Source organism: Homo sapiens, chromosome 11 (genome assembly GCF_000001405.40).
Source record: "Homo sapiens chromosome 11, GRCh38.p14 Primary Assembly".
Classification (NCBI taxonomy): Eukaryota; Metazoa; Chordata; class Mammalia; order Primates; family Hominidae; genus Homo; species Homo sapiens.
The window spans coordinates 42,227,152-42,240,262 of NC_000011.10; the positions used below are offsets into that span (position 1 = coordinate 42,227,152).

The following is a 13,111-nucleotide window of genomic DNA, read 5'->3' on the forward strand; positions in this document are numbered from 1 at the left end:
TCAGATTCCTTGTCTCTAAACTGGACATAAAAATGATTTCTCAAATATTTAGGACTGCATGTGCAATTTAAATGAATGCATATAGTGTAGTTGGCAGGCATAAGAGCTGACAGATACCAGAATCTTCAAATGGTAAATAGTAGCTCTTATTGGCTTTCTGAGTACTTATAACAGTGGCTCTGCAGCTGAGCTGCTTTGAAAAAAAAAGCAATATTTATTCATGTTTTACATTTAAACATTGAGTGAATGAGTAGATTTTTAAAATTTTTAATTTTTTACCCCTGATTGTTTTATCTTTCTAAAACATTAAGTACTTGGCACATTTTTTTCAAATGAGTATTTGAATATGAGGAAAATACACAGAACAACAAAGCAATCATAACCAAACAATTTCTCCTCCTAAACGCCCATGTTAATAAGTTTAGTTTTTATTCTATTAGCTTAATTAGTTTTTTTTCTTAGAATGGTAAGATAGCAGAGTGATGAGAAGTATAAAATCTTGAACCACATTGCACTGGTGGTCTACTAAGTTGTAAGACTTTAGGCAAATCACCTTAGCTCTTTTGTCGCAGGTTCTTCACAGGTTAAATTGATACTATGGTAGTATCTCTTCAGAGCGATTTTGATATAAATTAATCAATATTTTTAAAGATATTACAACAAAACTTAATTATAAAATAAATAGCTAACCAAAGCAAATGGATAGGATGGATTTAATATGCTAGAACTATATTAGTATTTTATGTGCTGCATTGCCTAGAAATTAAGATTTTCCTTGAAATTAAGATTTTCAAGCAGAAAAGATTGGGGAAGAAAAGATGAGAAACTAATCAGAAACTAAAGCCTTCAGCAGTATCTCTCCTAGGTTATTTTAACAGGCATGGGACGTACTAAAAAGAAACTGTATATCCTGGATGTAGATATACAAACTGTATTCAGTTGGCTCAAATGCAGACCTGGAGATCTGAAGTCACATTAATCTCTGCCTGGAGGGCTTTAATTTATTGCTATATTTCCCAGTTGATGTTTCTGTCAAGAACAGCTCTTTTTGGGCCAAACCTGGGTGTCTGCCAGGGCTGGAGGCTTTTACACCCCACATAGATGTAGAGGGCAAAGTTTGGAGATATAATAACATCTAGAGAAGGGTTTCTCAACCATAGCTCTAATGACATTTAGGGCCAGATAATTTTACATTATGGGCATTTGTCCTGTGCATTGTGAGATGTTTAGCAGCATCTCTGGCCTCTACCTACTGGATGCTAGTAACACCTCTCTCCCCTAGTTTAGGACAGCATACAAATTTTTCTAAACATTATCAAATGTCACCTGGGAGACAAAATTTCACCCAGTGGAGAACTGCTGCTCTAGAGATAAGATAACTATAAGAAGCTATAAATTATTGGCTATAAATAATCTCATTGTCTCTATATGAAAACCTTAAGTAGAGTATCACCAAAAGAACACCACAAAGAATTAAAACATTAACACAACCTAAACAAATAATGTAGAAGCTGAGAATGAAGGATGGTTTGATATCAAGAAATCTGTTTATCAAGACATAATGTGGTTGGTAGGTGCCAAGAATTAAAGAACTTAATCATATCTCAATTTCTTCCAGAAAGGTATTTTTTAAAGCTCAAAAATTATTTTAAATAAAAGATACATACAAGAATAATAAATAGTGGGGTATTTTTTAAACATGTAAAAATAATCTTTTAAAATGTGTTTACCAATTCAACAAATATGTTAATATCTGTACTATTTTATTTACTATATGTGTGGTCAAAATATAGCGAGTTTTAGAAAACATAGAAGTCCCTACTTTTAGGGAGCTTACATTCTAGATGTGCTTGTAGAGTAGAGAAAATAAATACACAAAATGATTAAAAACATGAGGGGAAAGAAAGCTCTTAGATAGAGTGGTCAAGGAATGAGCCTTAACAAAGTGGCATTTTAGCTAAAACCTGAGGAATAAAGAACATCCAGCCGCAAGGAGAGCCTGGAGATAAGCATTAGGGGAATTGATGAAAGCTAAGATATTAAAGCTGAAAAGAGCTTAGAACCACAACAAAGGAAACAGAGTAGTTGAGTGTGTGAGCGAAGGAAAGGCAAAGCACAATAAGACCAGAGGGGCAAACAGACACCAAGTATTGATGAGAGATTGGATTTTATTCTAAGTGCAGTGGAAAGCAGTGTTAAGGTTTAAGTGGGAAGATGGCAGAATACGATTTCCATTTTTAAAAGAGTCCCCTGCTGTGTGACAAATGGAATTGAGCAGAGGCAACAGTAGGAGCAGAGAAATCAGTATTTAGAAATCAGTGCTATAGTAGCTTATGCTTAACATGGTTGTGCCTTGGTGTGGAGAGTGGAGATGGAGTTGGGGGAAAGTGGATAGATTTGAGATATTTTGAAGACAGAACTGATAGAGCTTGCAAATTGTGTGGAAGGAAAGCATCAAGACTCTATTACATTATTGGCTTAAGCAACTGGAGAAATAATGATATTGTTTGGTGATATGCAAGACAGAGAGTGATTTTTAGGAGAAGCAGGGGCCACAGATCAAAGTTTCAGTAACAGCAGGGAGACAGTTGCATACATGAACATGAATATGCAAGCTCAGGGGAGAAGTCATAACATGAGGTAAGGCATTTGGGGGTCACTAAAAAATTAGTATTTTTTTTTTGTTTTTGAGACAGAGTCTTGCTCTGTCTCCCAGGCTGAAGTGCAATGGCATCATCTCAGCTCATCCCTAGTAGCTAGGATTACAGGTGCATGCCACCATGGCCAGCTAATTTTATTTGTATTTTTCGTAGAGATGGGGTTTTGCCATGTTAACCAGGTTGTTCTCAAACTCCTGACCTCAGGTGATCCACCCACCTCAGCCTCCCAAAGTGTTGGGATTACAGGCATGAGCCAGTGTGCCCAGCCAAAAATAAGTAGTATTTAAAACCATGGGAAACAATTTGAACAGCCAAATAGATATGACAGAGAAAGGGGAGGAGGAGGATCCCAAACTTGGCCCCGGTGTTCTAAACACAAGAGATTGAGTAGGGAAGATGGAGTAAACGAAAGTAAAAGTTGCAACAACAGGGTTAATAAAACCAAAATGAAAATTGTTTCAAAAAGGCAAAGCATGCTGAATATGCTGATGTGTTAAGTAAGTCTAAGACTCAGGATTGTTCCTTAGTCTTGATAACATCCAGGTCATTGGTGACTGTGACATGAGTTTGGCAGAATAGTGGGAGAGGGAGCCAGAATGAAATGGGTTAAAGAGGCAGAAAAGGGCAGAAAAAAGGCAAAACTTAAGGCAAGATATGTTCTCAAATGAGGTTTTGCTTTGTTTTCAACAGGAATGATACTAGACCATGTTGTTTTGTCGGTGGTGGTAATTTATGGAGAGAGAGGAGGGCAAGGAGAATAAAACAGTAAAAGAGAAAATGAATAAATAAGTTTTCTGCAGAGGCAAATTACTTGCTCAAAGAAAATACACTGGGATCCAGTATACTAATGGATTTATTGGTAGAGAGGAGCAGGGTTCTGTCATTTTAATGAGAAAATATGGATAAAGATGTAGGTGCATTTGTAGATGTGATGAAGGTAAAACAAGGGAACACCAGTCAGATGGTCTCTATTTTTTCAAAGTAACAGGAAGGAAGGTCGTCAGCTAAGAACAAGTGGGTAAGGGGTCTGTGAGAGGTTTCAGGAAAGAAAAGAGGTTATGAGTGAAAATCCAAAATTGTACTGAGTTGTGAAACTGTAGGATTTTTACATTACATGGTAAAGAAGAATAGCCACAATTTAAGAGACATTGGAAAGAAGGAAATTGATAAAGCTCTATTTGCAGATTGAAGTGTTTGTACACTGAGATCCAAGAAATTTCCTATTAATGGCAATTCATTAAAGTGGCTGGTTAGAGAATACAAACGTAAGTCTCAGCAGCATTTATAGATATCGGCAATAATTTCTTAAAAAACAAAATGGACAATTACCACTTTCTCATATTATATCTGTATTTAATATCATGGCTAAGCTATACTTTGAACTATTGATCCATGCATTTTTTGTGTAATTTTCTTCCTTCAGATCTTTCAGTGGTATCTTGAAGGCCCCTTTTCTTCTCCCCTTATGTCTGCTGAGAAAAACACTGGAGAGGTCACAGACCCAAGAGCCAGCAGGAAAGATTCAGATGATTAGAAAGAAAATGAATTGTGAATTGCTCATATATCCTCCCCTGTGAAAAAGTCTTCAACACTCTGGACAACTGTAAGCCCCTCTAAATGGAAGGATGGCAAACTTGTACTCCTTGGAGTCGGAAAAGAGGGGGCAAATATAGAATATTGTTCCATAGCCAAGAAACAACTGGACTTAACTAATTAGAAACGCCACCCCTGCTGCATATGTTTACTTGTTTATTGTCACTTTAACAATTCCCTAATGATAGTCAATAAGCTATTTGCAATATTACTGTAAGGCACATTCTTTGTATGTGTCTTTGATTTCATGCATACTGTGCCTTTTTGGTTGATCCTCAGAATAGGGCCACCACTAATTTTTACCACCACCAGCAATGACTGGCAACTTGTTGTCAAATTGGCAGAACTTTTTGGCTATTTTCTTTCATAACCTTCCAATGAAATTATGTGGCATATGTAACTACTATATTTTGTAATTTGTTTGTATTTGTTTCTACATGTGGCCCTGTTGATGCCCAATTATTTTAAGGAAAGGAGAGAGGTGTTTAAAATGCATTAATATGCCAATTTTCTGGTGTTATTGAAATCGTCACCTAAATCTACTCCAAAGTTGTTCAGGACTCTCTCACTTTAGAGACACTTAACCAAGTTAGTCCAGGGTCAGCTGACCAATTCCCATTTTCCTTCCTTTGCTGGTTTTGTTTTGAGTGTCCAGGGGTTGCCTTAGGCTGGGTAGTTGGTCTCTCTAGTTTCAATATCAACTCTAGGTGTGACCCACTAGAGAGCTTTACATTCTGCGTAGAAAGCTTGTTTCTCGCAGTAAATTTGCACTTAAGTGTCTCCATGGTTCTCTAAGGGGAACCCAGGGGAAGCTGCTTTTATCTCCAAGTCATCTTGTCCCAGACATGATACAAGATGTGAGTTGTCTGCACATCTCTGTTGCTCCATTAGCCAGATCCCTTCTGCTTTCTATGTTCTAGTCATTCTTCAAATGGTCTCAGCAACAATTTATCATTTTTTAGTGCTCTTCACCAAAGAAGAGCACTAAAGTCTTTTAAACTTTGACGTCCTTATTTTTAATTTACAATATTTCGACTATTTCTTATTCATAGAAATCTGTTATTGTTTCATATGCCTTGAGTCCTTCTAGGGATAAATAATTTAATTAAAGGTAAAGTTTTCCATCATTTATTTAAGGCTACCTTGAACATTACTTCTGGTTGTTGTGTGTTTTTTCTTTGGTGTTGCTCTTCCTTACACATTGAGTGAGTTTTGGATATCCATTTATTCCTGTGGTTGAAATACATGAAAATTCCTGTTCACCTGCTGAGACTACGTGATCTAGGTATTGAGAAGGCATCAATACATTAGAGCAGGCATGAGAGAAAATCACTTCGCAGAGCATCCCCTAGTTTCCTGGCTTGAGGGTTCACTGGGGAATGGCTGTCTTTGCAACTTTAAACAGAAGCCTAAAGCCTGCAAAGAAGCCTTTGCCTTCTGCCTCCCTCGGCTATATGTGTGTTGCTTTAGTGATTCTGATTCTTTCTGCATCCCAGCAGTCATGCTGGGAGTCCTCCCCAGGCAGATACATTACCGTTTTCCAGACCATTTTAATACAATCACAGAAGGGAGAAAGAGGAAGCATAGGAAATGTACTAGGGCAAGGGAGGCTGAGCCGCTTTTCTTAATCATTCATTATACTGTGTACATCATGCTACAATGTTTTTATTCATCTCATTTAATCCTCTCAGCAGCTTTTCAAGATAGTTATTATTCAGCATTTTATGGGTAAAGAAAATGAGAGATACAGGTCAAATAAATTGATAGGTTCAAAAGGAGACAAAAAGTTCGCATTTAATTTTAATTTTTATCTTTAGACCAGTCTTTTGCCTTAGGAAGTAGTAATATGGTTTACTTTAACCACACTTAGGTAGACTTCCTCAAACCCAATAACCATCCTTTTATTACTCTCTAGGTTTAGAAAAACCTTTGCTAAATTTTCTCCAGTTTCCAGCTTGGGAAGCTGTGGCTCAGTCAGATATATCATAACAGGTCATATTCCAATAGCAAGGGAAAGTCATTCATTTTGTAAATTAGAAGGTATTTTTCAACAAAGATCATATATTTTAGTTAGGTGTCTTCATCCCCAGCAGCAGCAGAATGTGCATGATATGATTGAGACATTGGCCATATCAGTAGCTGTCACAATTTATATTGATTGTACTAGCTAGGCTGTGTCCTCTTTTCCCCTCACCACCCCTAATATATCCCTTTGGACTCATTCTCTGGAAATAATAATGAAAACCAATCATTAATTATGAGTACAACCTCAAAAATTTTAGAAGTTACCTGGGAAGAGAAGAGGAGTTTATAAGAAGGCAGATATAAACATCTAAGATAATAGGTTGGAGAGATGGAATGATCAGGTTAAAAGGGCCTGAATTTGAGAATCACTTGGTTTTTGAAGTCTGGGACCCAGCTGGATGAAAGGCATGTTGTCTTCAACAGTACTTACTGATAAATATCTATGGGATATTGTTATGGGGATAAAAAGATTTTAGAGGGGCAGCATAAGATAAAAGACTGTCTCCAGTTTTGTTTTTGCCATTAACTAACTCTTCTTCTCCAGCCACCTACCCTCTTTTTGTGTAAAACGAAGCAGTTGCCCTAATTTTAAGTGTCCTTCTAACTTTAAGAGACTATGAAACTGACATGTATCCCACAAGCTAGAGTGCAAGGTTATCTACAGGAAAAGAGGAGGAGAGCAACCAGACAGCACATTTAAGTGCCAGGAGGGCAAGAGAATAAATGTCTCACAAACCAAAGGAAGGAATAAAGCTCATGCCCAGCCTCTTCTAAGGTTTACGTGAGCAAAGGATTTTAGAAGTCCTTTGCAAACTGGGAAGTTCTATATAAACGTGAGAGCTGATTTTCTTTTTTCGTAGTCATTTACAGATCTCCTTATCTGTGCCAGCCACTTTTTTAGGCACCAAAAATGCTAAAGACTCTTGCTTAGCAATGTAGAAAGCAGTCTTTATTGTGGGCAGGGAACATTTTTGCAGATAATATGACTTCACAGAGCATTTCCAATTAAAAGTTGGGTACAAAACAGAGATTTTTGGGTGATTGCCTTGGGGTAAGGCTTGAAAGGATAAGTCATAGGGAACTCCTGTCATAAAGACCATGAGCTGTCTGCTGTAACCCAGCAGCCTGAGGGCTGAAGAGAGTGGTTCTAATAGGTGGATGAAATTATAGTCACTGCCTTCCAAAATATCTTATTCTATTTCCATAATAAGCTAGACTATAAATGAGTTATGTTGAAAGATAATAAATAAAAATGTGAAGGCTTACTTCTGAGTGTATGAAAAACTTGGCTCTCCTTTACAAATCACTGGGATTCCAAAGCACCAGACAAATCCCATCACCAATGACTTCTACTGATGCACTGGAGAGGGATGAGTCATAAAATGCAGAGTAGAGGGAGGACAGACAACAAGCAAATAGTCTTATCTATAAATGCACGCAGTCCTTTGTTCTAATGCTGAAGGAGTAGAACATAGTTCAGTGACAGAGTTGAATAAGAAAGTCCTAATTTAGATTGGGTGGCCAATATGAAGAGGCAAGTTTTAAACTGAGTCAGAAAGAGTGAGTAGGAGTAGCCAACCGCAGACTTGAGAGCCAAGAGTAGCAGCATGGAGGAAAAAAGCCAGGGCATAAAAGAACCGGGCACATTTGAGCAGGCTTCACCTTCAGAAATCCTATTCATCTAACCTGGGAAATGCCAGAGACCACTAGGAAAGCCTCCATAAAGTTACTTTTTTTTTTTCAGCTGCTTCCTAGTCAACAAATCTTTTGTATATCAATGAACTCGTCATTAAAATAAAAACAAGAACAACAAAAACAAAAGGCTCCCAAATTTAGGAAGGCGACATAAGAATAGTAGCCCACTGTTCCATTATTGCTCAAAGTACTTTAACTGTTACCTTATTTATAGAAACTCTCCCATATTTATGCTCAAAGCTATATTTGCTTGACTAGTAGAAAATTTCAAAAAAGACCAAGAATTAGGAAGTTTGTACCATTCTGTCTAAGACAAGGTCCCTTTGCTACATAAAGTCCCCTGGATGGACAGAAAGTTGAACCTTTAGCATTAGTGCCTACCACCTATTCTGTCTCCCTTTCTGGTTGTTCTCTTCCGTTTTAGTAGTTTCCTAGAGTTGTTGTGTTATGTTTATACATAACAGATATATGTAATCTGTGTATTATGTTTACATAATTACTTGTTACATAATTATGTAACACATTCTAATAAAATTAGAGGCTTACAACAACAGAAATTTATTTTTTCATAGTTCTGGACATCAGAAATCCAAAATCAGTTTCAATGTGTCATATCAAGGTATTAGTAGGACTGTACTTCTTCAGAGGTGCTAGGGGAGAAGCTGTTTCCTAGCCTCTTTCAGCTTCTAGTGGCTGCCAGTGGATTTGTCAGTGGCTGCTTCACTGCAATCTCTGCCTGTGTGGTCACACTGCATTTTCCTCTCACATTGAAGACTGCATTTAAAGTCATCCTGGATAATCCAGTATAATCGCCGTATCTCAAGGTGCTTAACCTAATGGCATCTGCAAAGACCCATTCTTTAAAAATCATTCTATTATAAAGACACATGCATGCATATGTTCATTGCAAGACTATTTACAATAGCAAAGATATGGAATCAACCTAAATACTCATCAGTGATAGACTGGATGAAGAAAATATGATACATATACTCATGGAATACTATGCAGCCATAACAAAGAATGAGATCATGTCCTCTGCAGGGATATGGATGGAGCTGGAGGCCATTATCCTTAGCAAACTAACACAGGAACAAAAAAAAAAAAAACAAAGACTGCATGTTTTCACTTAAAAGTGGAAGCTAAGTGATGAGAATACATGGACACATAGAGGGCAACAAAACACACTGAGGCCTATCAGAGGGTGGAGGATGGAAGGAGGAAGAGGATCAGGAAGAATAAGTAATGGGTACTAGGCATAATACGTGGGTGATGAAATTAGTTGTACAACAATCTCATATGACACAAGTTTACCTGTGTAACAAATCTGCACGTGTACCCCTCAGGTTAAAAGTTAGAAAATATAAAAAATAAAAGTGAAAATTTTAAAAATAGTTAATGCATAACAGATGCATATAGTTTTGGGGTACATGTGATAATTTAAAACATTCATATCATCTGTAAAGATCAAATCAATGTACTTGAGATATCCATTACCTTAAATGTTTGTCTTTATGCTAGAAACATTGAAATTATTCTCTTCTACCTATTTTGAAATGTATAATACATTACCATAAACTATTGTCATCCAACTGATCTATCTAACACTAGGTTTCATTTCTCCTATCAACCCATATATGCATACCAATTAATCAAAGACCTTTTCATGTACCTTTTTAAAAATTTGGTTTTGACATTTAATAACTGTATATATGTATAAAGTATAGTGTGATGTTTTAATACATGAATACATTGTGTAAAAACCAGAGTATTTGAGATATCTATTACCTCATACATTAATCATTTCTTTATTGGGAAAACATTCAAAATCTTCTCTTCTAGCTATTTTGAAATACACAATACAGTATAATCACAAACTACAGTCATACTACTCTGCAGTGAAATACCAGAATTTATTCCTCCTATCTCACTGGAACCTTGTTCTCCTTGGCCAATCTTGCCTTATTCCTTCTTTCCCCCCATCCTCCCCAGTCTCTGACAACCACTATTCTACTCTCAACTTCAATGAGAGCAGCTTCTTCTGATTTCACATATAAGCAAGATCATGTGATATTTGTCTATGTTCCTGGCACATTTCACTTAAAATAATATCCTCCAGTTCATCCATGTTGCCACAAATACAGAATTTTTTTATGGCTTAATAGTATTCCATTGTGTATATATACAATATTTTCTTTATCCATTGATCTGTTAGACACTTAGGTTGATTATATATGTTGGCTTTTGTAAATAGTGCTGCAATAAACATGAGAGTGCAGATATCTCTCAGACATACTAATTCCATCTCTTTGGCTATATACCTAGAAGTGAGGTTGTTGAATCATCATGGTAGTTCTACATTTAACTTTTTGAAGAACCTCAAAAAAATACCCTTTTTACATATAAATTAGCATTTCCAGTTTCTAGCCATTAGGTTCTGATATCTTTGGGTGATATTTTTCTGTCTATGACACCCTCCCTCCCACATTACTCTATTGCTCTACTGCCTAGAGGTGTCAGTTCATGGTCATACATTGCAAAATTCTCCAGGGCCTTGACTTTTTTTAGGCTACTACATATCTCTTCTAAGCCTCCAGGGCTCTCCTCCCTCCCCATAGTATGAAAATAATTTTGTTTCACACTTTCTCTTTTTTTACAGGGTGTTCTCACAGAAGAGCTTCTAGGGCTCCTAATTAGAGAGCTTTTTCCTTTATACCAGAGACCTGCCCATGTGAGATGAGTCACAGAGACAAGAAGGAATCCAAGCTGGATCTAGAATTACTAATCCCCCTATCATCCACGTTCCATTCCTAAGTCAGGGATCATTCTGCTATAATGTATTGTTTCACATAATGATTTTCTTATAGCTGTGTGTTTGTCTTTCCCAGTGCCAGGCTTTGTTCAGTCCCTCGATTCACTAGAAATATGTAAGAGTAGAGAAATCCTATTTGCCAGTAGAGTCACTTACCTTCTTATACTGGAGAGAGATTATTCCCCTTATCCCCTGCCCCACCACACACACATACGATGGAGTGCTGTTACAAGAAAAATAAAGCGGGTCATAAGTGAAAAAACATCACATGGGAATTCCATACTAAAGACCATTTGGTGAAAGCACTATGCTAGGTATGTTATGTTTGGCTACATCCTCTCACTTATTTTTTCTGGGGTTAATTAGATTGTTTTGGTTGCAAAAAATTAAGAGTTACTCGAGTAACCCAAGCAATGAATATTTATTGAATGGTAACAAATACTTTACAGCTAAATTACTGCAGGCATCTTGTAGAAATAATTAAGACCTTAGCTGTGCTTCCAGGCCACATCAAAATGAAGATGGTTACACAGCTATAAGCCTACAAAATCGTAAGAAAATCACAAGAAAAGATGCATAATCAGAATTATAAAAACAATAAACAGGAAAGGATGTATAGTAAAAAGTTAAAGAGAAAAACCTAGCTTAGCAACTGAAAGGTTAGTCTGTATTCTATATATATCTTTTGACCTCACTGGCTCTTCTTTACCTGCATAGAAAGAGTTTGCCAATGCCCACTCTGGTGCTCTGTCATTATCCCAAGTAGGCTATTCATTACGTATCTTGGCACATCTACTTGTGGCCCTTCTACCAATCTCCAAACTATCTTTATATATTTCAAGATATAATTCCTCCAGGAAGAGGATTGATCCACCAAGTGTCCATTGGACTTGTTGGGCAGAGCTTTCTTTACAGCTCACCTCCATGGACCTGCAGACTGACTTTCTTTGGGGTAAGTGTCCATTTGTGGACCAATCAGCTATGGATGGTGAGGCCATGTGGTACTGGCCAGCATCATAGATGATTGTAGATGATTAAATTGAAGACCACAACAAATTGGAGATGGGAACCTCATAGAAGGTGAATTTGAGTGTGGAAGGTATGTAAGTCTTAGCCTATGGAGGACACCTACTTGCTCAGAGACCATGGAAATGAGCCCCACATCATTGGCATTTGAGCTTAGTGCAAAGCTTTCTTTCCCTCTCAGAATGACAGCAGGAGAGCTCGGTTATATAACGGATGTATCTGGAGACTAGTAACCATGCACACACAGTCTGACCCTGCCTGGAATGAGATCCCCAAAGAGACAACTAGGTAATGTGTTAAACCTTTAACATGAGCCAAGGGCTGAGTCAGCACTGAGGTAGCCACTCTCCTTGGCGCTGTTAGATACACATGGCAAGACTTCATTCTCATCATGTTTATGGCTCCAGCATTGCCTAAGGGAGTTATAAAAGCTAGTAGCGGCCTGTGTAATTTTTTCTGGCATGGCTAAGAGAAAAGCCTTGAACTTGGAGACTGATCTCTGGGTATAAAGTGGTAATGGGCGATCATTCACACCTTTCCTTCCCAGCTGCATTAAATAACACTTTGGTATTCAGCCATAATTCACAATCTGCAGCGGCTGTGTCAGAGGGAAGGGGGACGTTCATTCACTGTTTGACTGCAATTTCAAACACAAATGCAGTGAGGAATAGTCTTGCTGAGCCTAGAGAAATTATTATTCTAGATGCGGCTTTTTTAATTTGTGCAAATGTTGGATCCTGTACTTACAGAAAAAAAGGAAAAAAGTGGCTGTGACCAGGCAGATGGTTGCATCTTCGAGTAGTGGGGATAAGGCACAATTTTCCTTTAATGAGGTGATTTTTTTTTCTGCTGAAGTCTTGAACTCTGAAAAAGAAAATTGTGTTTGAACATATAAAAGGAACGCAGATGGAGTGTCCTCAGTGAGGTGTTAAAACACAAAGTCATTCCATTTCTGGGAGACGTAACACATAAATTTGCAATCTCAAATGATGGCAATGTCTCTGGGGGTGGGTGGGACTGCTGTCCTTGTGAAATGCCCATCCTGTCCCTGAACACTTGGGCTCAGGAGCACTAGACATTCAAGTTCATGGCAGAGAAGACATGCCCCTCCTGTACATTTCCAGAGCAGCCCCTTCTAATAAGCCACATAAGGTAAAGGAAGAGAAAGCAGAGGTCTGTGAGATAGAGGAATGGATAAAGAATGTTCTTTCCTTGGCTTCTTGGAGCTAAATTGAGAACAAGTGAAAACCATTAATGTCTGATATGCATGGAGGCAGTATAATACAGTTTAATATTAATT

The 13,111-nt window shown here is 37.5% G+C and overlaps 1 long non-coding RNA gene across 1 annotated transcript in view; it reads right to left on the bottom strand.

The window, feature by feature from the left end:
- Positions 1-13,111, bottom strand: part of LINC02740 (long intergenic non-protein coding RNA 2740) — a 65,948-nt gene that overhangs the window by 39,409 nt on the left and 13,428 nt on the right. The window contains exons 3-4 of the long non-coding RNA NR_038309.1: positions 12,559-12,675; positions 10,942-11,008 (exon numbers count right to left, since the gene is read on the bottom strand). This is a non-coding gene — a long non-coding RNA (long intergenic non-protein coding RNA 2740). The remainder of the gene's footprint in view (positions 1-10,941; positions 11,009-12,558; positions 12,676-13,111) is intronic.